The sequence below is a fragment of the Homo sapiens genome, chromosome 20 (genome assembly GCF_000001405.40).
Source record: "Homo sapiens chromosome 20, GRCh38.p14 Primary Assembly".
Taxonomy (NCBI): Eukaryota; Metazoa; Chordata; class Mammalia; order Primates; family Hominidae; genus Homo; species Homo sapiens.
The window spans coordinates 60,158,889-60,181,407 of record NC_000020.11 but is presented as its reverse complement, the minus strand read 5'-3'; the positions used below and the strand labels follow the sequence as shown (position 1 = coordinate 60,181,407).

At 40.0% G+C, this 22,519-nt stretch overlaps 1 long non-coding RNA gene across 1 annotated transcript in view; it reads right to left on the bottom strand.

The window, feature by feature from the left end:
- MIR646HG (MIR646 host gene) overlaps positions 1–22,519 on the bottom strand; it is a 183,765-nt gene that overhangs the window by 140,849 nt on the left and 20,397 nt on the right. Inside the window, exon 3 of the long non-coding RNA NR_046099.1 lies at positions 495–573. This is a non-coding gene — a long non-coding RNA (MIR646 host gene). The remainder of the gene's footprint in view (positions 1–494; positions 574–22,519) is intronic.

Sequence of the window (22,519 nt, the reverse complement as noted above, 5' to 3'; positions counted from 1 at the left end):
CTGCCCTCATTCTCTTGCAGTTGGAAAGTCAAAATGTATATTCATTAAAATTAGGTTCTTAGAGTGTCCCCGCTATGTTGATGTCAGGGGGATTTATCTATACAGGCCTTCCCGATGCTTCAAGAGAATCAAACCATGGGTTTTGCATATCTCTCTTAAGAAAGGCCTTAATGCTCATGCAATTCAAATCACCATTCAGCTGTCTGTAATTTCAGTGACAACTGTCCCCGTCGCACATACATGCACCACTAATCAAAGACTGCAGCCTGAGCCTAAGGGCTGAGAAGATGTGCCAGGAAAGTGGCAGGCCTGGGGATTCTGCAGAGCAATAGACCTCAAACCGAATGCAAGAAGATTTTGTTAGCTGAGTTTACATGCACTCAACCCCAGCTACAGAGTTGTATAGGGAAGAAAGAGCTGTCTTAACATACAAACATCCCCCTATAAAGGACCACGAGAAAATTAGCCCCTTTCAAATGTCCCCGCCTACTCACCTGTAGCTGCTGCCCTGGTGCACCCCAGCACCGCCTTCACAAGCCCGTTCCGACCACGGGAGGCTCATGTTGTCAGCATCTAAAAGGACAAGACAAATTGGTTTCAAAGGAAGTGTAAAGATCTCACAAATGATGTATGGTGTTATGAAACAGATAACTGTGATTTTGGAAAACACAGAGTCTTGTGCAGAGGCATTCGCAAGAGGATTCTTCGGCAGAGACAAGAACCGAAAAGAGAATTTATAAGAATGGTGACAACGCAGACATTTTCGAAGAAAAAATCATTTGAATTAAGAAATGTTCTTGGCAGAGTGGTTATAGCATCTTTATAACAGGCAATTAAAACAACCCAAAGGTCCATCAGGAGAGGAATGGATAAATAAATGATAGTACTTGCATGGCAAGAAATAGCTCAAAGTCATAACAACGAGTGAGCTGCAAAGAACAGTCGCCAGGATGAGCCTCACAGATGACAGACAGGCTGGGTGAAAAGCCAGACGCAGAAGAACTCAGGATAACAACTCCATTTCTATGAGGTTGGGGAAGAGGGGAAACTAGCCTGAGGTAAGGAAAGTCAGCACAGCGGTGACCTGTGAGTGGAGAGGAGTTAACACCTGCAAAGAATCACGTGAGAAGACTCTGGGTGGTGGCAATGTTCTAGATCTGCATCTGAGGATGGCCACATGGAAGTACCCGGATGTGAAAGTTGACTGGGCTGAAGACAGAAGACATGCACTGTGCTCAAGTAATACTTTACTATAACTCATTTCCACATAAAAACTTAAAGAATATTCTTGCAAAATTGATGAAGCCCTTGAATGAAGCCCTTGAATGACTCTACAAAATGTCCTCTTCCTGATGGTTCTGTGAAAGTCAAGCAGAAAGGGAAGGATATTTTATTGTGCTGTCATACAACCTGGTTTGGAAAATTCTACAAACAATTAACACTCACTAGTCACAAAAGGACCACCATGTGTCATTTCACTTATATGACGTACCTAGAGTGGTCGAATGCATAGGGAGGGGAAGTTGCATGGTGGCTGCCAGGGGCTGGGGGAAGGGGGAATGGAGAGTTGTTGGTTAATGGGGACAGAGCTTTAGTTTGGGATGATGAAAAAGTTTTGGAGATATATGAAGGTGAGGGTTTTACAATGGGAATGTCCTCAATGCCACTGACTATATGCTAAAATTGGTTAAAATGCTACATTTTAGGTTACATATATTTTACCACAATTAAAAAAAAATTGGAAGGAAGTCAACTTGGTTTATTCTTTCTCTATTTTAAAATTAGCTTATAGTTGTGATTATAATGTAAATATTAATTATAAGATAAACATATCTTCCTAGTTTCATTTCATTATTTTAAGATGAAGTTTCAATCAAGTTTGGGTTTGGGAAGGGATTTTCTTTTTACTGTTTAATAATAAAAAGCAGGTGCCCATTGTAAGGAACTCACTTATGAGGCCTTTCTCTGGGGGCCCCATATCCCAGGATCACAAAGACCTTTGTGGAAATGATAAGAAGTTCAAGGGTTCTGCCAAGATTGTGCTCAAATTTCTTTTTCTTAAAATGTATTTTAACTATTTTCAAAAAAACCTGTATAATAAAGAGCAATATGCTTAAATGTCATATATATCAAATTATAGCACAGGTTAAACTGTGTTTCTGCAGAACTTCGAATAAATTCTCACGCAATTTTTGTGCATAATTTAACTTCCTTGAACATGTTTTACTGGTTAAGAAGGCTGTAACTCTGCATTGTGCATTTAAAAAATTCAGTGCTTTTTCCATTTTACTCAGATAAAATTATCTAAGCATCAAGCTGATGAAGCACACACGTGCCTCTCTCAACCACGTGCCAGGCAAGACTGGGAAGCACCTGTGTGGGGCGTGCTCCAGCATCACATGCAGTACGCCTACATGTATGACACATTGTGTATGCACGCTTTAGGTATAATAACTATAACATTTGTCACTGAGATACCAGCTAAAGCCTACGTAGAGTGAGCATTCTGTAACAGCCCCGTTCTGAGTACATTAATTTCCATGATCTCCTTTCAAATTATTTTCATATCTCATACCAAATCCTTAAAACAATCCCACAAGGTAGATCATGTTATTCTCGCATTTTACAGAGGGAGAGGATAAAGTGAGGTGGAGTGAAATCATTGGCCCAAGGCCACAGAGCCAGTGAGTGGGGAGAACTGAAAAACAGAAGCATTAAGAGGCCAGAGCCTGGCCTCCTCACCACTGCACTAACTGTGCACAACGGTGAGTACACACCACATTGAGGTTGACCCTTAGTTCATATAGACATTTCAGCACTTGAAATTTTAGGGTGCTTCTTGTCTGATCTTTCTATTCAAGGAAAGAAATGTGGGCTGTTACCAGATATTGTTGGCAATGCTGTACAGACACACAGGGCCCCACAGGTTTACTACTCTGCCATTGCTGTCTTGACATTTTTAATAACTTTTGAACAAGGGATCCACCTTTTCATTTCGCATTAGGTCCCACAAATTACACACCAGTCCTGATTGTTGGTGTTTCAATTCATGTTGGAAAATGTTTCCTACTGCTTCTCTTTCAATCACACTGATTAGTGTAATTGATGAGATAGGAAGGCAAGGTGTTGAAAACATCTACAATTTTTACCTCTATACCAATGTGAAGCCTAACATTCTTAATATTCTGCAACCAAAACAAAACATAAAAGCAAATTTGACCTTGAAACTAACATAAGGTGCAAATGTCCTCTGCCCCTTCTGTGGTGGGCACATGGTGCTGTCCTGCCACAGCTGGTACCCTTTCCCCTGGCCATAATCCCAATTTTTATTTATGGTCTTCACCTCCCCATGCTCAGTCCTGGTACACGTGCAGCTCTGGCCCCAGCTCCTGGAATGGAGCCTGGGACGAGCTAATCAACTCAGCTCATTCCCGGGCACACGGTCCACCTCAGTCCATCCAAGTGACTCTCTGGACTTGGGTTAGCCTTGCCTTTCTTGGCTGGATGTGAGGAGTACGGCCATCTGGCCACCATGTGCAAAGAGCGGGTCAGAGAATGGAACCAACTAGACTAGGTAGCCCTGGGGAGACTGAGTTGGTTGTTAAACTGTCAAAATACCGCCATACTTGCTGGCAAATAGCCACCACCCTCAGGTCCTCCAAGTTCTCCCTCTACCACCTGTCACCCCAGCCCCTCCTCTGGTCCTCCTGTATCTCCCCACAATGCAGCAACTGAAGAAGTAATGCTGGCACAGCAGGGGTCTTCCAGGAGCCACTCAAAACTTTGGCCTGTGTTCCTTCTGATCCTCAGTGCGTGGTTGCTAAATAGTTTTAATATCTCCCCTGGGGCCACCTAAAGGAAATGCAGCAGGGAAGTGGAGGGAGAGACACCAGCTCCCATAGAGGGCTTGAGCCCCTGTGTCAGCCTGCCCCCAAATCCAGTCCCAGCTCTTTATATCATGGGAGCCAATGAATGACACCATGCCTGGGCAGTTTGGGTTGGAATTCCTGCTACTTGCAAGCAAAAGAGTTTTAAATAATGCAACCCCAGTTTCAACGCTGATGCTATTCTCGGTTTCAATTTCCTCATGGGGAAATGGCTGAATCAAAGTTGTAGGTCGAGAAATGTACAAGATTAGCCTAGACATCGTGTCATGTCTGACAGCAGACAAAGTCACAATCAACCTGCAGCAGCTCCCACTGGCCAGAGATAATCACAGTCCATTGAAGTACATCAAACATGTTCAAACCTATGAGTTAATAATACCATCCTCTACCTCGAAAACAAAAAAGAAAATAAAAACTGATTGGTCACCTCTGGAGAATGCCAGGAAGTGAAGTTATTTTGAAAATTAGTAAATAAAAGGGGAAAGATTTAAGTTTTTATCCTAAATTTCCTATACAAACTATATCTCAGAGTAACCAAGGACTTGAATTGGAAGAATTATTCTGACAGAGACGTTCCACCAAACAAATGAGAAATAAATGACAGAACAAGGGCATTCTAATGTTGTCACACTTACTGAATTAAGGTCTTATGCAGTGATCAACAATGATTGATGTAATCTCTCTCTTTCTCTCTCTGCCCACTCTCTCTGTTCCTCCCCCCATCTCTCAATCTACCTTTTTTCTTCCTTTTGTCCCTCTCCCCACCCATCTCTCTCTCTCACACACACACACACACACGCACGCAAACTCAAAAAGAAGAAAAAGGCATCCAGATGTGATGTACCCTTTGATGCTACCTATGAAATATTTTTGCCAAAGTTTCTATTCGGAATTTCCTCCAACCTTTAGCCCTATCAGTTTACAGATGCACAGAGAACAGAGGAACATTAAATAACACCCCAGAGAATCAAGCATTAAAATCGAAACTGCGAAAAACTCCATAGGACTAATAAACCAGTAAATTATAAGAGATGAGGAAAAATACAGATAAAAAATATTGAGAAATTTATCAACCAATTGCAATGTATGGACCTTATTTAGACTCTGATTTGAACAAACTAAATGTAAAAGAAAAATTTATAAGGTACCTGGGGAAATTTGTGCACTGACTAGGTAGTGAATGAAATTGAGGAATTATTGATATTTTAAATACTATTGTAGCTATGTGTAAAAACAAGAATCTTTATCTCTCAGAGATACATGTAAATCTTAAAACCATTAGTTGGGGAGTGGGCAGGAGTACCTGTAAAACGAGATTATCAGGGAATGGTAGGTGTTGAAGTTGAGTGGCAGAAACATGAGGTTGATTATTTTAACATTTTACAAATCGTTTCTTTTAATTTTCTTATTATATTTATTAAATATACAAGATAGCTTCAACAAATCTTGGAAAATATGTATTATTTAAAAACCATGTGTGGATTTCAAAAAATTTTTTAATTTTTTTTGAAAATTTTCAATTTTTGCACCAAAATAAACTCATACTAACTTGTTATAACTTGTCTGAATAGGATCTAGTTTGAAGTACAAAGAAGGATAAGACAACAGTTTGCAAAGAGCCCCTATCAGAGCAACATGAATTCTGCTAAAAATGAAACAAGAACAAACATCAAGTTTATGGTGAAGTTTGTGTGGAAGAGTGTGAAATGATTGATGCTTTACAAAAAATGTATGAGGACAATGCCCCAAAGAAATCATCAGTTTACAAATGGATAACTCATTATATGAAGAGACAACACAATGTTGAAGATGAAGCCTGCAGCAGCAGAGACCACACCCCTAATTTGCAAGGAAAACATGCATCATGTTCATGCCCTAATTGAAGAGGATTGACAATTAACAGTGCAATCAATCACCAACACCATAGACATCTCAGTTGGTTCAGTTTGCACAATTCTGACTGAAAAAATACAGTTGAGCAAATTTCTACTCAATGGGTGCCAAAATTGTTGCACCTATATCAGCTGCAGACAAGTGACGAGCTTTCAATGAAAATTTTAAACAAGTGGAATCAAGCTCCTGAAGCACTTCTTTAAAGAATTGTAACAGGAAGTGAAACATGGCTTCACCAGTACCATCCCGAAGACAAAGCACAACCAAAGCAACAGCTACCAAGAGTGACCCAGTCAAAATACAAGAGCACTGGGCTAGACCAAAAGTCATGACAACAGCTTTTTGGGCTGCTCAAATTTGCTTACTGACTCCTATGAGGCCAAAGAACAATAACATCTGCTTGTTATGACAGTGTTTTGAGAAAGCCAAAGCGTCAGCAGCAAAAAAACCCAGGAAAGCCTACCAGAGAGTCCTTCTCCACCACAAGAATGTTCCTGCTCATTCCTTTCATCAAACAAGGGCAATTTGGGGAATATTTTGATGGAAAATCATTAGGCATGCACCTTACAGACCTGATTTGTCTCCTTTTGACTTTTTTTTTGTCTCCTAATATTAAAAAAATTGTAAAGGAAACCCATTTTTCTTCAGTTAATAATGGAAAAAGGACTGAACTGACATGGTTCAATTCCCAGGATGCTCAGTTCTTTGGGGATGGTCTAAATGGTTGGTGTCCTTGCTTACAAAAGTATCTTGACCTTAATGGAGCTTATGTTAAGAAAGTTTATATTCTTTATTTTTATCTCTTAATTCGATTTTTCCATGAACATTTTGAAGTCCCCTTGTATATTAACTATATATTGAAATTTTAAATTTATACACAATAATTTATTCTAACACTATGCTATTTGTGCTGATCTTACATATTAAAGTTCCATAAGATATTCAACTTTTGGAAAGAGGTCCTTATGTACCCCTCCCCACACTCAAAGTACAATTTTACAGCTTCTACCTTCTGTGATTATTCTGTGATTATTCACCCTTGTACCATTAAAACATTTATAAAAATGAGTAATATGGACCTAGATCTGAGCATCCAATCCAGTGTCCAATAGCCATATTTTGCTATTGAGCACTTGGAATGTAGTTAGTCCAAACTGAGAGGTGCCACAATTAAAATACATGCTCTGCTGGATTTCAAGGATTTCCTACAAAAGAGAAAGGTAAAGTATCCCATTACATGTTTTATGTGGACAACATGTCAAATTGATAGTATTTTGGATATATGGGGTTAATAAAGTATAATATGTATTTATTTTTTTTGAGATGGAGTTTCACTCTGTTGCCCAGGCTGGAGGATAGTGGCACCATGTCGGCTCACTGCAACTAGCATTTTGGGAGGCTGAGGCAGGTGGATCAACTGAGGTCAGGAGTTCAAGACTAGCCTGGCCAACATGATGAAACCCCATCTCTACTAAAAAAATACAAAAATTAGCCAGGCGTTGTGGTGGGTGCCTGTAATCCCAGCTACTTGGGAGGCTGAGGCAGGAGAAAAAGTATATTATTAAAAGTAATTTTACCTTTTTCCTTTTGTTTTAATAGGACTACCAGAAAAATTTAAATTACACATTTGGCTTCTATTATATATCTATTGTATAGTGCCACTCCAGATAAGCAATGAGTAAAGCAAGTATATGGAGTGACCATTTAATTCATGATCGAAAGTGGGACAATTGGACAGTGCCCACAGGCATTCTTAATAATCACACTAGAACAACTGGCATAAGCCAGGACATACGCTCACCTCACTAATTAACCAGTAAATGTGATTGTTGAAAACATAACAGAAATAAAAGATTCCTCTTGTAACTTCAACTGCTCTTGAAGGGGTGCACGCCCCATTGAAGGGATGCCTTGCTGCCTGCTGTGTCTTCATGGATTTGTTGTTAGGTTAGAGCGTGGACCTTGCAGAGGTTGCAAATACCCTGAGAGTTTGGAGTTTTAGGAACAATCTGACGGAGGAGCAAGAAATATCGAGTGAATCAGAGAAACTCCCTGGCGAAGGAGTGGGGTGGTCAAAGGGCATTTTAACAGCATTACCTGACTATTCTACATGAACTTCTTTTTTTCTCTCTTTATTCCAGTACAAGTTTTCCCCCCTCATCCTCATCATTCTTATCTCTATTTTTTTTTTTTTTTTTGAGATGGAGTCTCACTCTGTCACCCAGGCCAGAGTGCAGTGGTGCAATCTCAGCTCACTGCAAGCTCCGCCCCTCGGGTTCACGCCATTCTCCTGCCTCAGCCTCCCAAGTAGCTGGGACTACAGGCGCCCGCCACCACGCCCGGCTAATTTTTTTTTTTTTTTCCGTATTTTTGTAGAGATGGGGTTTTACTGTGTTAGCCAGGATGGTCTCGATCTCCTGACCTCATGATCCGCCCACCTCAGCCTCCCAAAGTGCTGGGATTACAGGCGTGAGCCACCACACCCAGCCTTTTTTTTTTTTTTTAAGGTTTCTGTATTCACATACATTGTATGTGAACAGGGCAAATTTATGATTTGTAAAGAAAAAGATTTTTTCCATCTGGTTCAACATGGGGCAAAATAGCCCACAGGCAAGGCAGGTGTCCCCTGGGATGCAAAGAAGCCATGAGAATGAGCTCCCACCTTCTGAGTCACCGCTCACCCTGCTGCCCACTGGAGGAGAGGAGAAGTTTCAGTGCAGGTTTTTCCTTTCCGAGTATGGGACGTGATGGGAGCTGGCCCTGACCTTGTCTATGTGCCTCAGAGGACCAGGAGGTCCCAGCCAACATCAGGAATATGATAGTAAAGGTTGAGTAATAATGACAAAATAATACTCTGAGAATTATTCAGTAGTTTCCAACCACAATAGCTCTCCCTTCAGAAACGCATAAGATTGGCATTTATTTTGCTCTAGAGAGAACATTCCTTATTAGAGCAAAGTGAAAAGGAAAGCAACAATACCCAAAAAGAGGCAGAAAATGAAAAGCCGCAAGCTTCCACCGGCCTAGAGGATGCAATTTCTCTTTGCTTATTTAAGAACAACTGGGATGCATCGAACACCCCATAAAAGGCCGGCTATAGACTCACATGTTTTATCTCCTTATTACAACATCACTGTGTGTTGCTGAAAATGGCCAATTCTGTAGCAAAGAATCATTCCCAAGGGCAGCATCTGCCTCATTGCTGTTGACAATGCTTTGGAAACAGCACTGGGTTGCTTTCCAGATTCCTCAGACCTCTGCCCAAGAGGTGACCTGAGCTGATTCTCACAGAATCCATAGAAAGAATGTGTTGGCATAAGCTAGTCCAAATTCAGGTTGCTGGACTCAAAATCCGTGTCCCTGAAGAGGAGTAAAGTAGGTGTCATCTTCTCCTGCCCACTCCCCTGGTAATCCACTGTTTAAAACTAACTAGGCATCAACCTCAGAAACATTTACTGGACCCGAGCTCCATGTCAGGCCATGAAGTACAGTTACAGGCAGGTTCCATCGCATCTTCACAGCACTAACAGGTATGCATTTTTTATTATCCTCACTTCACACATGAGAAATGGAGACACACAGAGGTTACATAACTAATGTGGCTAAAACGGAAGAGTAGGTCAGATAAAAAGCCATGTCTCCTGACTCCAAACAGCATGGTGGTAACGCACACAGGGCCACTCCCCAACACATGGGCCATATGTTAATTACCTATAAATCCATGTGAAATATTCATTCATTGATTCATTCATTCACTTAAACTTGATTCGATGCTTCCAGCTGCCCTGGATACAAAAATAAATAAAATCTGGTCCCTGACTTAATTCAAGAAATTCACCATCTGGCTGAGAATAATTTTGGAATGCAAAGGTCCAAACCCCCATTTATTTGTTTTCTGATTTTGAAAAACTTTTCTTACTGGGTTTACCCATATTAGGTTTTTGCATTTTGTTTGTTTTCTCTGAGCTTGGAGGCAGAAAGACCTGCAATCAAAGACTGTATTTTTTTCATTGTTTTATTTCCTGTCTATTATATTTTGGATTCAGAATCCACTTTTCTGCAAAGCCTTTCATTTGCATCTGTACACTATAAATATGCAAATCCCAAACAAATAGGAAAGTAAAAACTCAGCCAAACCAGCCACTTGACATCAGGGTAGTTTACTGACTTCTAACTCTACTGTTAGCCAGTTTGTGCAGAGCAGACATTACAAAGTGGCAGTTTAGCCTAAAATGAGTTTTATTTTGCCTGTTCAGTGTTTTACTTCCAAGTGAATCAGTGTTTTAAAAATATAAAATGTTACATAAAAATCCAGATTTCTGGTATTTGTTGAAAAATTGGAAATTCTCATAGCAAAACACTGGGCCCACATGCCTACATAGCAACAAGGGCTGGAGCGGAACAGTGGCTATCTCTGTTAGTGACATGCTCATTCCAGCTCCCCATAGTCCCCACCACTCCCTACTGAATCCCCATCCTTGAGACTGTGTGTACCAGTTGTCATCCGGCACCTCTCTTAGACAGTTGCTTTCCTATGGTCTGTGGCTATTTCTGTATCTGTACATTTATCCAAATATGTACAACAAAACTCAAACTAAAAGGGCCTGATGATTATTTTTCTATGCAGCTTGTCTTGCTCATTTGCCTGACTACCTGATCCCTGTAGATATGGCTTTGACCAACAGTGTCAATAAATTGCATTCCCAATCAGACCAACAAAGGATGTGCAACTCAAGTTGTTTCAATTGAGTATGTGGCTGAAAACCTCTATATCCTACATGTGTCGATTACGTATAGCTGAATAACAAACCTCCCCACAACTCAGTGACTTAAAACAAGCATTTATTTGGCTTTTAATTATGTGTGTCTGAAACCTGGGCTGGGCTCAAGTAGGTAGCTCTTCTACTGGTCTCACTAGACTCACTCATCTGTGGTCAGCTGGTGGTCATTGAACTAACGTGCCTGCCTACAGGCTGGCTGGCTGCAGGCTGAGGCCATGAAGGTACCTAGGTGTCCCATCTTTTATCACCCAGCAGGCCTGCCCAGGCTTGTTCTTGGGATGGTGGTTGTAAAGTTCTTGTATGAGTTTGCTAGAACTGCCATAACAGAATACCACCGACTATGGGGGGCCTTAAACAATATGACTTCACTTTCTCACAGTTCTGAAGGCTGGAAATTTAAGATCAAGATGCCAGCAGGACTGGTTTCCAGTGAGGCCTCTCTTCCTGGCTTGTGGACGGGTGCCTTCTTGCTCTGTCCTCATGTGACCTTTCCTCTGTGAGCCTGTGGAGAGGAAGTAGTCTCTGGTATCTCTCCCTCCTCTTATAAGAACACAGTCCTATCAGAGTAGGGCCCTACCCTTCTGGCCACATTTAACTTTAATTACTTCCTTAAAGGCTTTACATTCAAATACAGTCACATTGGGAGTTAGGGCTTCAACCTATGAATTTTAGTGGGATGCAATCAGTCCGTAACAGTTCCCAAGAGCAAATAGAAGACAAGCCCTTTGTGTAATATTTGATTTTTTTCTCATTGACCTAAACAAGTCCTCTGGCCAGGTCCTGAGTCAGCGTGAGAGTGGACCACACTGACGCAAATACCAGGACACAGAGAGGCATGAACAAATGAGGGGCTGTGACAGCAGCCATCCACCATGTCCAGGCCAACTTTCTTCACCTGCTGCATACTCTAGGTCAGCGCATTTTAGATGCATGCTGTGGGGGTTACTGTGGTTCACTATCCAACAACTGATTCTCATCAGCAGGTTATTCTAAGAGGATTATAGGCTCCCTTTCCCCTTCAATGACTGATGGGGGAGTGGGCATGGACCCAGTGCAGATAAAATGGAAATGTCTGCTGCATGTCCTTATGGAAAAGGTTTCCAGGCTCCAATAAAGAACAGGAGAAGAGAAGGTCCTGCTCCTGGATGTTGTTGAGTCAGATAATGCCTGGATCAGCTGTGGCCACCTTGCCATCTCTGGAGGATGACGCCAATCCCTCAAAGGCAATGGGAGACCAGAAAAATGCAGATAGTCTCCAGAGCCTGACATCCATGCCTAGACCGCATTCTGACTCCGAATTTCTTGTTACATAGCACCATGGATATCCTTGCTGCTTGGATTGGTCTGAGTCACTGTATTCAGTCGCTTATAGCCTAATGCAGACCAACAATGCAGACACTGATTAGACTGGCCCATCCATGTGGAGCCAGGGAGGTCACACACATTTCATGGGGAGCCCTGGATTCTATGTTTATGTTGGCCTGGGGCGGCTGCTGTCTCAGCTTCCTCCACTGAAAAAGTAGAAAATGTCTATTCTATAACCCCAAGTGTGGATTTATGATCAGATGAGATAATGCATAGGAAAGCATTTCAAGCTGTATAAATTGTCAAACCAGTGTAAAGAAATGAGAAAACAGCATCTTTCAGGATGAAAGGATTGACAGCTAATAGCTAGAATTATGTCATATCAACAATCCATCCATCCAGTCAAGTCAGTCAGAGCACTGTCAAACCTGTTTACTGTTGCAGAGACCAAAATAACCACATATTCTACAACAGACCTCCACCTATAATTAACCTTTCAATTAAATGAAGACAGCCTCAGCATTGTGTGAGTGCTAAGAGTGGTTAAAGGGTGGAGGCACTGGGCAGAAGCAGGTCCACATCAGCTAGGATGATTTCAGCTGCAAGGAACCAGCACCTAACTCATCCTGACTTAGAAAATAATTTACTGGCTCAACTACGAAGAGTATAGCAGTAGGACATTTACCTGAGGATTTCAGGTGAGGAGTCATTCAGTGGTTCAGTGACATAGCCTAAAATCCAGCTTCCTTCTTCCTCTGCCCTCTGTCTTTCATGGTATTGGCCTTATATTCCCAAATGTCCAGGGAGTAATTGCTAGACATATCCTCAAGTAAGATCACGCATTTAGTCACTGCACTTGACTGTGTAAAAAGCATAAATTTCTTCAATGAAAAGAATATAAATATATCCAATTTTTATAACCTGTTTCAAGATTCCTTCATTTTTCAATGTATTGGAAGCTTCAGGAATTGACAATAGCCTGGGCTCCCTCGATCATGAAGAAGTCCTGTTTGTCCTGATATAACTGATGATTGGTCCTGAAACTATTTGCCTGAAAACTTTCTTCCTGGAATGCAGCTTGTCTTCATCCTGCAAACACACACTTCGATACCTGCATTTGTTGAGATGGGCTGAAATGACCCAACAACAGATCCCCACTTTCACTACAGACATAAAGAAATGTTTGTACTTGAGATGGTAGCAACAGGCCCCAACTCTACATGTCTCCCACTGAGATTTGAGAAAGTAAAGAAAAGAAGACAAACCTTGCTTACATTAATTTACTGTCACCCACTGTGGCTGAAATGCTCATTAGAATCTGGCATTTATACATAATTTTAAATTGGCCCAGGTCTTCTAATCCTTCTAATGAGTTATTTCCCTCCACTGGCCATAGATGTTAAGGCAACCATCAGTCTTTACACCCATGTAAATATTTTTGTACTTATTTTGTGGTGAAAGTTGACAGGGAGCTTGGTGTCACAATGAAACTGTGTGTAGAAACCAGAGAAGACTAAGTGCTAACAAGCATAAGCCACATCCCCAGGGTTTTGAACAACCATGGTCTGGTCTTTCTCAACTCAATTGAATATGTATTCCTTTACATAAGCAAGCCAAATACCAAATGGAAATTATATTAGACATGCAGAAACATCAGCAAACCTCAATCTCTAGTCAAGCAGAAAGAAATAGCAATCAATTAAACTCACCCGGAAATCAATGCCTGAATCTATTTTGTCTGACATCATATATCCTGGCAGTACACAATTTAAGACAAAACAAACTCACCCATTTCAGAGATTAACATCTACGCCCCTTAGCTGTAAGGACTTTTGGAACAAAAATCCTAAAATTGAATTTTACTCTATTCATTCCATCAGTAGGTCTAGGAATGAAGCTCCATTTATTGAAAAACATAAAATTCCTGACATTTCACTATAAGTCCTCTTCTCCATTTTCTTTGAATTAATCTGATGTAGAACCTGTTATAAGCAGATCATCCCTGTTAGACACCAGAGGTCATGTCATTAATATATCTGCATGCCCAAGGCACAGTAAATCATACAGTATACAGTCATTGCTCAATATATGTGGGCTAAAGTTTGATGAGACTTCAGAATACCCACCTTAATAAACACTTGACTATTTGAACTTCCTATCTCATAGTGTCATTTAGATGCTGCCTTTCCTCAGGTGGCTGGCCATGTGTTTGTGACTGTATAATATTCATTCTTTGACCAAACAGAAAGTTCTAGAAACAGCATTCTTGAAAGCTATTCTATCACATAACCTTTGTTAATGTAAAGCTAGAATAAATAAGTGTCTGTTGTATTTCCCATTAGGGTAGTTGACTAGAGGGGATTCATTTTATCACTTCTAAAATCTCAAAGGATTACAGGTTGCTTTTTCATAGGAATTTTAAAAAGTCAACGATCCATCAGTAAATGTATATCTGACCATTCTTGCTTTTGCATCCTTAGAGAGAAAGACAGATGGACAGCTCAACATTCACATTCTCCTCAAACTGCTCCTTCTTTTACCCTCAAATACAGAACAGCAAAGCTTCTGCCAGCATTTCAAGTCAGCCTTGCTATTGTTCCTTTAGCAAGCCTGGAAACAGTCAGGCTAGACAGAGCAGTGACTAATATTCCAGAAGTTATTTAAAATTCCACAAAAGATGTCTGTTGTGATTTCTGCCTGCCCAATGTTCATTCTCCCTTTTCTAGGTTGTGGAGACAAAGTTTCCACCAAAGAACTACCCTCTGCCATTTGGCGTATGGGAGGTTGAACCCATATTGTGGTTTCAGAGGTGGGCCTGGGACCCAAGCTTGGCCAATGGACAGCATCCCCCTGGCCAAGTGATGTGCTTAGGGCTGCAAATGTGACCACAGCTAGGCTAACGAGAGCCTTAGTGCTCTTTATAGCAGGGTTGCTAAACTGGTAAGATGTGGCCAGAAACTCCTGGTGACCACCTTCATCACCAGGTGGAAAGACACGAGAACAGGAACTGATTCCTGAGGACGCCATTTATGCACCTGGATCCACCATGCCTGGGATGCTGGCTTCTGGCTTTTCCATTATATGAGACAATAAATTCCCTTTTAAAAGGGAAATGAACCTATGTTTTGAGCTGGATTTCAGTAACTAGAAGACTACAGAATTGTCGGGCAGTCCAGAGAAACGTCTTTTTGGAAAAATAGATGAACTAAACTTTGTAAATAAGCTAATTAGAACAGAAACACAGTCTGGGATATTTCAGTGCAATTCTTTTCAACATACTCAATTTAATCTGATGTCTTAGAGTTATAGAAACCAAGGAGGTGTTTCTCTGTATTGTCATTCTGAAACCACCCCCACTCTAAAGTTAGCCTGGTCCTATATCATACAATTAAGTATGCATGGGGATTCGTGCCCTAATTACCCAATAGTTGTGCTGAAGCCTTGGTCTTAAGAGTCCCATTAATATTTCCCAGCAATGACAGATGAAAGTGCTGAGAACATTATACTGCAATTAGTGGTTGACCCACAAAAATAGAATTATTCTTTGTTGCCGTCATATAATTGATTCAAATACTTCATATTATTTCCAATGTGTCTGAAGCTCTCAGCTCTCACTGCTTCTCTACAGAATAAAAGGTGATTGTTAGTTTTTTTCCGTAAACTTCACTTTCCTACAAAATAAGAAGGATCTTTGTATTTTTTCTTTCATATTTCAAGCTTTCCATTGTCGTGATATCTGGCTGATGTGAAATCTAGATGTTGGCATATAAGTTGCATATAAGTTGCATATAAGTTGGCATATAAGATGTGGGATATAAGTTGCTTTGGATCAACTTCATTTAATTCAATTAATTCTATTATGATTGAATGATGAATTTGGAGAAAAAAGGAAAAGAGAAATATAGAACCAGCCCAGGATACCTCATTTACCCAAGGGAATTACAAAATGAGAAACAGAATAAATGGAGTTGTGGCAAGGATCAATAAAATTATAGAAGAAAATTTCTGAGCACTGAAAATAATTAAATCTCATCTTGAGTATTCAAAACAGAACAGTCTCAAGGACCTAAAAAATTAGTGAAAGTCAAAAGAAGCTACCTCTGTTGCACGTTCTGGTGAGCTTATTTTTTTCTGGAAATAATTCACACGTATCTCTAAAATACAAGACTTTTTAAATGGCCACAATACCATTATCAGCATAACATATGACAATAACGTCTTTATATAACCAACATCCAGGGAAAGTCAACATTTCCCTGATTGCACATATGTGTGTGTATATATATAGTTGTGTGTATATATTTTTTTATATAGTGTAAAACATCTCTAAACTCTCAGCACTAGGCATTAGTATTCATTTTATATAGTGTGTATATATATGTGTGTGTACATACATAGTATATATATACAGTGTGTGTGTATACATAGTTGTATGTATACATATTTTATATATATGGTGTGTGTATACATAGAATTGTGTATATATTTTTACATAGTGTGTATATATAAATTTTATATATAGTATATGCATATATATAGTGTATATTTTATATATATAGTGTGTGTGTATATATATATTTTACATATAGTGTGTATGTGTTTATATATATAGTTGGCTTATTCAAGTTAGGATCCAAAGAAGGCCTCGCCTTGCAGTTGCCTAATATGACCCTTAAATCTCTATCTGTAGGTTCTTCCTCCTCTCTTTTTAATGGCTTCACAATTTATTTGTCAGTGACGACATAGGGTCTCTCACATTCTAAAATTTGTTGATTACAACCCTGTGGTATCATTTAACGTATTGCTCTATCCCTGGTCTTCAGGTTCAATATTTTTCAAGAAAACCCCTAAGTGGTATCATGTACTTTCATCTAGAGACACAATACCAGGTTGTTGCTCTTTTTTGTGATGCCAACAGTCATTGGGGATGACAGCATCGTCCAATTATTGCCTTTGAGGCTGAAAAATTATGATATTCGAATTCTATCATCCATCATTATTATTGAGCTGGAACTCTTCAATATAAAAAGAAACGTTCCCAAATAAACCACTGTGTTATCCTGAGGTACAGTTGTAAAATTAAGGCAGGAAAAATGCTCAATTTTTTCTCTTTATTTGCTGGTTTTCAAAATTGTGAGTTGGTTCCCTATCATTCTTTCAATCCATTTCGTGATGGTGTTGATTTGCTGCTGCTTCTGTGGTGGTTTTGTGCTTTACCTGTGGATTTCGACATGGTTGATGTGTCTTGCTCCATTGTTGTCTGTTGTCTGTCTTTTACACATGGATGGGAACACAGACGATGTGTTTCCATTCCACGTTGTTATTCTTACTGAAGCCCTGAGTGTGTGACCTCTGTCCGGTGGAAGCCTATTTAGGTCAGCTACTGGGTCCTCCGAGGAGACCCAGCAACCTTTTCTTTTGCTTCCTGGGGTTGAGTAAGATGATCTGGGATCTTCTCATATATTTCGTGCCCCAGATTAGGAGTCAGCCATTTCTCCAAGAATCCCTGCTTTGTTTTAGTGGATAGGTGCTCAGCAGTGACAGTGCAGGTGCTAAGTACATCCATTGCTACTAGTTAAGTTCTTTCAGGGTTTGCTCAGTTGACAGAGGCGGAAAATGTATCTTTTAAGTGAAAGTATATTGGGCATCTATGCTGATATTTTCAATTCAAATTTAAGGTTGCAGGGTTTTTATTTCAATTCTTTTATATTTTTCTCTCTTAAGCTAAATATATTATTTCTTGTTCATGTTAACATAATTTGATTTCTCCTAGAATTTACTTAAGTAGTTTCCAAACAAAATACCAAAGTTATTATTAACAGTATAATTACTGAAAAGAAAATAAAATTTCTTTGATGTTATTTACGTCCTTAACGTATATTCCATTAAGATGTACAGCCAAGTAACTGTTTTTTATAGTAACTTAACTGATGTCCCTCTGTGAGGGTTAAACCAACAACTCAATGCATAGGTTTATTTGTCTCATTTTGCTTTTGATTTTGAAAAGTATCACATTAAAAACAAAATCATGCCAAACCACAGAAAATGACTTAACATTTTAATATAAGTTTCTAGTCATTTGCCTACATAAATGCTATTTCAAAAAATGGAATCATAGTTTCATAAGGCTTGATATTTGCTTTATTCACCCCAGAGTATATCATAAACCTCTTCCATGTCATTAACATATTTCTAAATCATTATTTTAATACCTTCATAGTATTCTGTCATTTAGATAAATTACAACTCTCTCAGCTAATTCTCTACCGTTGACCATTTAAGTTGTTTACAATTTCTCACAATTTTAAACGACATTGTGATGAATATCCTTGGTCCTAAATATGTCCACACGTTCCCAAATTACTGCTTTAGGGTAAATTCCCACAAACGTATTTGCTGAGCCAAAAATAAAATAATCACTTTAAGACTTTTGCCTCACGCATCTAAAGTGTTCTTGTGAATTATTTCAGAGCTCCCACATCTGCAGACTCTCACCAACATAAGGCATTAGCATATTAGCATAGCATTCTTTTTTTACTGTTTTTCAGACAGAGTCTCACTCTGTTGCCCAGGCTGGAGTGCAGTGGCACGATCTCGGCTCACTGCAATCTCTGCAACCCAGGTTCAAGCAATTCTCATGCCTCACCCTCCCAAGTAGCTAGGACTACAGGAACACGCCACCATACCAGGCTAATTTTTTGTATTTTTAGTAGAGACAGGGTTTCACCATGTTGGCCAGGCTGGTGTTGAACTCCTGACCTCAGGTGATCCACCTGCCTCGGCCTCCCAAAGTGCAGGGTTTACAGGCGTGAGCCACTGCGCCCAGCCAGCATTCATTTTTAATGTGTCTAATATGAAAGGTTAACATAGCCTGTGATGATGGCTTATGCAGACACTTCTTTAAATGGATTACTATAGGCATTCAGTTATTCATTTTTTTAATTCAACAAAACTGTAAATCAGGATTTACCATTTGCCACACTGGCCAACATAGACACATCCCCCCGCTTCATGGGGCTCAGAGTCCAGTGGAGAAAAAAGACATTTGAGCGACTCAGCTATGAGAGAGCAATGCAAAGCATCAAGAAGGTGCTTAATAGGGAGACCAAGCTAGACCCAGCAGGGGCAAGTGGGCATCACAAAGAATGCAGAGGTTTACGCTGAAACCAAAAGGATGAGTGAGCCACAACTAGGAGGTGAGCAGGTGACACATAGGGAGAATGACCCAGAGAGAAAATAGCATGTGCAAAAGCCCAGGGGTATGAATCATATTTTTTCTTAATAGGCAAATATTCCATTCATGAAAGAGGAGCTGGAACTGTAGAGACCCATCTCCTGCATGCTTACTCTATGCAGGACCCAGTTCATGTGAAACACCAACGCTGTCGTAAACCATCAAAAAGGAAATACAGCAAGACCTCAGCATCTTGTCTCAGACTTCTCCTGCAGGTGCTTCTGTCTCCATCATCTTTGCCAGCATAAGCAACAAGTGCTTTTTCATCATCCCTAACATTCTCCCAGTCAAATCACATGAATGTGGTGATTTACAACAGCTGTACATCCAGGGCAGATTAGAAAGAGAAATCTTTATAATTATACAGGCTTGCTGTTATTTAAATATTTACCAACATTAAACACCAAAGGGCTGTGCAAATGATCCAGGGATTCATATTGTTCTAAGCTAATATTCTTTGTACAATATTATGCAAATTGCATAAACTTTATTTTGTTGTTGTTGCTGCAAGCGGTATATCCCAAGGCAGCCATTCACTAAGTTGAAGCAGATAAAGTTTTAATAATAAATAGTGATGATAAATAAGTCACAAAGTTTGTGCAATGCTAATGTACTCGCTCACCCTAGGGTAGTTTATTAGATAAACAAGTAACATTTCCTGCTTTGCTCTTGCTCAAGTGGCTTCGTTTTCCTGGAAATGTTTGTGCAATAAATTATTTCAACCCATTAGGTGTTAACGAACAAATCACATTCACTTGCAATCTGTCGTGAATTGCCGAGAATTGAGATTTAAACACTGAAATCATACATTAATTTTACTTTACAACAACAAAGCTGGTTAAGAGAAATTAAACTTGGCTGAAATGGGAACAAAGCAGTATGTCTGATGCTCAATATTTTAAGCCTGCAAAGGAGGCTGGAAATTGTTTCATTAATATTCAGAACATTGGGTGCTCGTGACAATGAGAAAATGCAAATAACAACCCATGCCTTGGGAATACCCATTAGCAGCAATGCGTCCATGCAGGCAGCATGTCTGCCCACACGATGCCATTGTTGGTTCACAAAGGGTCAGGGCTCCACACACCTGTGTGGTGGCCTGGAACAGGCTGAGCTCCCTCTTGGCATCTGCAGGGCAGAATTGGTCCCATGCACCAAGGTATCATCTGTCTGTGCTCATAACAACCTGCTTCTGTTTAGAAGGGTGATTAGAAAATATCTTGGAAAATGCACTCAACAGCAAATAGCCAGAAACAAGTGTGCATGAGAGGGTGGGAGTCTGAGGGAAAATGCCATTTGTCCGTACAATAAAGGTGTCTACAGCTATGAAAGAGAAGGCGGCAAACCCATATGTTCTGAAATTGACTTCCAAGATATGTTTTTTTAAATTTCTAGCATGAATTTTATTGAAGAAAATCATGCTTACAGAAATGTGCACAAACCATATGTGATGATGAATTTTCACAAAGTCTACACATTGGGCAGCCAACAGCTACAGGGAGTAGGACATTGTAGGCACCCATCCAGGGTCTCTCTTACACAGGATGACCACTGTCCTAACTTGTGACCTCATAGCTAAGTCCTGGGGCCATTTACATTTGTACTTCATTCATTCTCATCAATGGATAACATTCTATTGTATAAATATACAATTTGCTGACTCATCCTCATGTTGACAGATATTTAGGTCCTCTCCAGTTTTTAGCTATTTCAAATAGTACTGCTTTAGACATTCTTGAACATATCCCTGGTGAATGTAATAATTTTTTTAAGTAAATGCAGTCAAGTAAAGATCAGGTTATGTTATGGTCATTGATATGAAAAAGAGATGGTGGTATAGGCACATACACACAAATACATACACACACCCCAAATATTCACTAGTGATATGTGCAGAGACCATTTCTGAAGTGTATAAAAATAACAACCTCATCTGCCCTTGGGAAGAATGTGTGAGGGACAGTGGAGTCTTGCTTTTCATTGTTTATATTTTTGCACTATTCTAAATTTTTCAAGGGCATCGATTAGGTTTGCAATATAAAATTATTTAATCAAAGGGGGGAAAATGTAGTGACTCTGAAGTCATTTAGGTCCTAACTAAACATGTAGCCATTATTATAACATTATATTTACTTCCCTTCAGCTGTGCATTATCATTTACAAAGTGCTGTCCCAAAGTTTATCTCACTGCTTCTCACAATACTAGTGAGAGGAAGCATTTGCTGCCCATTTCTATGTAACAGACATGTATCATTATGCACTTGATCTTCCCAGTTAACCTAGGAAAAGGGTGTCATTAAGTACCCCACTTCACTATCTGGAGGTCAGAGGGGTTGGGTGAGTTTCCAGGAATTGCATGGTGAGTAAATGGTCTCTGGACCTTCAGTCAAGTGCAATTTTCACTCGTGACTGCTCCCCACTGCATCCCCGCCCCCAACCACAGAGCCTGGAACATGCTGGTGCCCAAACAGAGAGAGGCAAAGAAAGGTGAGGGAGGCAGAGACTGTGAGGTCAGAGCTTTAAGGGGCAATTCTAGAATGAACATGGGGCTTTCTGACCCCTTCTCATCCCTAAATAAAGGGTATCTTCTTAACGGCCCCAGTAATGCCAATGCTTTCTGCAGTAGGTTCTTTAGGTCAGGGATTGGCAAACATTTTCTGTAAAGGGGCAGATGGTGAATATTTTAGGCTTTGTGAGCCATCCAGTCTCAGTTCAGCTTCTCAATTCTGCCTCACGTGTATGAGAATAAGGTAGCTATAGATGATACATTAATGAATGGCTTGGCTGTGTTCCAAAAAAACTTTATTTAAGACACTGACATTTGAATTTCATATGCCTTACGAATGTCATATTCTTTCATCTTTCAACCATTCTAAAATGCAATGACTATTCTTATTCTTAGCTCATGGGCTATATAAAAGCAGAGAGTGGGCCAGATTTGGCCCATTGGTTACAATTTGCCAACTTCTACTTTAACTAGATGTAAAAATAGGTTAAGATACAGCCACTGAACAGAAAGTAATCAATTTATAGTTAAAATCCTTTCAGTTGCTAAACTGGGACGAAACTCAAACCAGTCTCGGTCAAAACAGGGAATGTAAGAACTCATAATTGAGAAGCCCAAGGGATTGGTATTCAGAGATGACCACTGTAGGGGTTTGAATTGTATGAAGGTTCTCTTTCTCTCTCCCTCCCTCCATCAGTTCTTCTCCTCCTCCGCTTTCTCCTCCTCTTTCTCTTTTGCTATTTCCTCCTCCTCTTCCTCCCTTTCCCGTTCTTTCTCCCCTTCCTTTCTACCTTTTTCCCTTCCCCCAGTTTGTCTCCTCTTGGACATACTCCGTTATTCTCTTTAAGACTATATGTATATATACCACAGTTTCTCTATCCAGTCTATTGCTTCTTAAAGTTGAGTGTTGCTT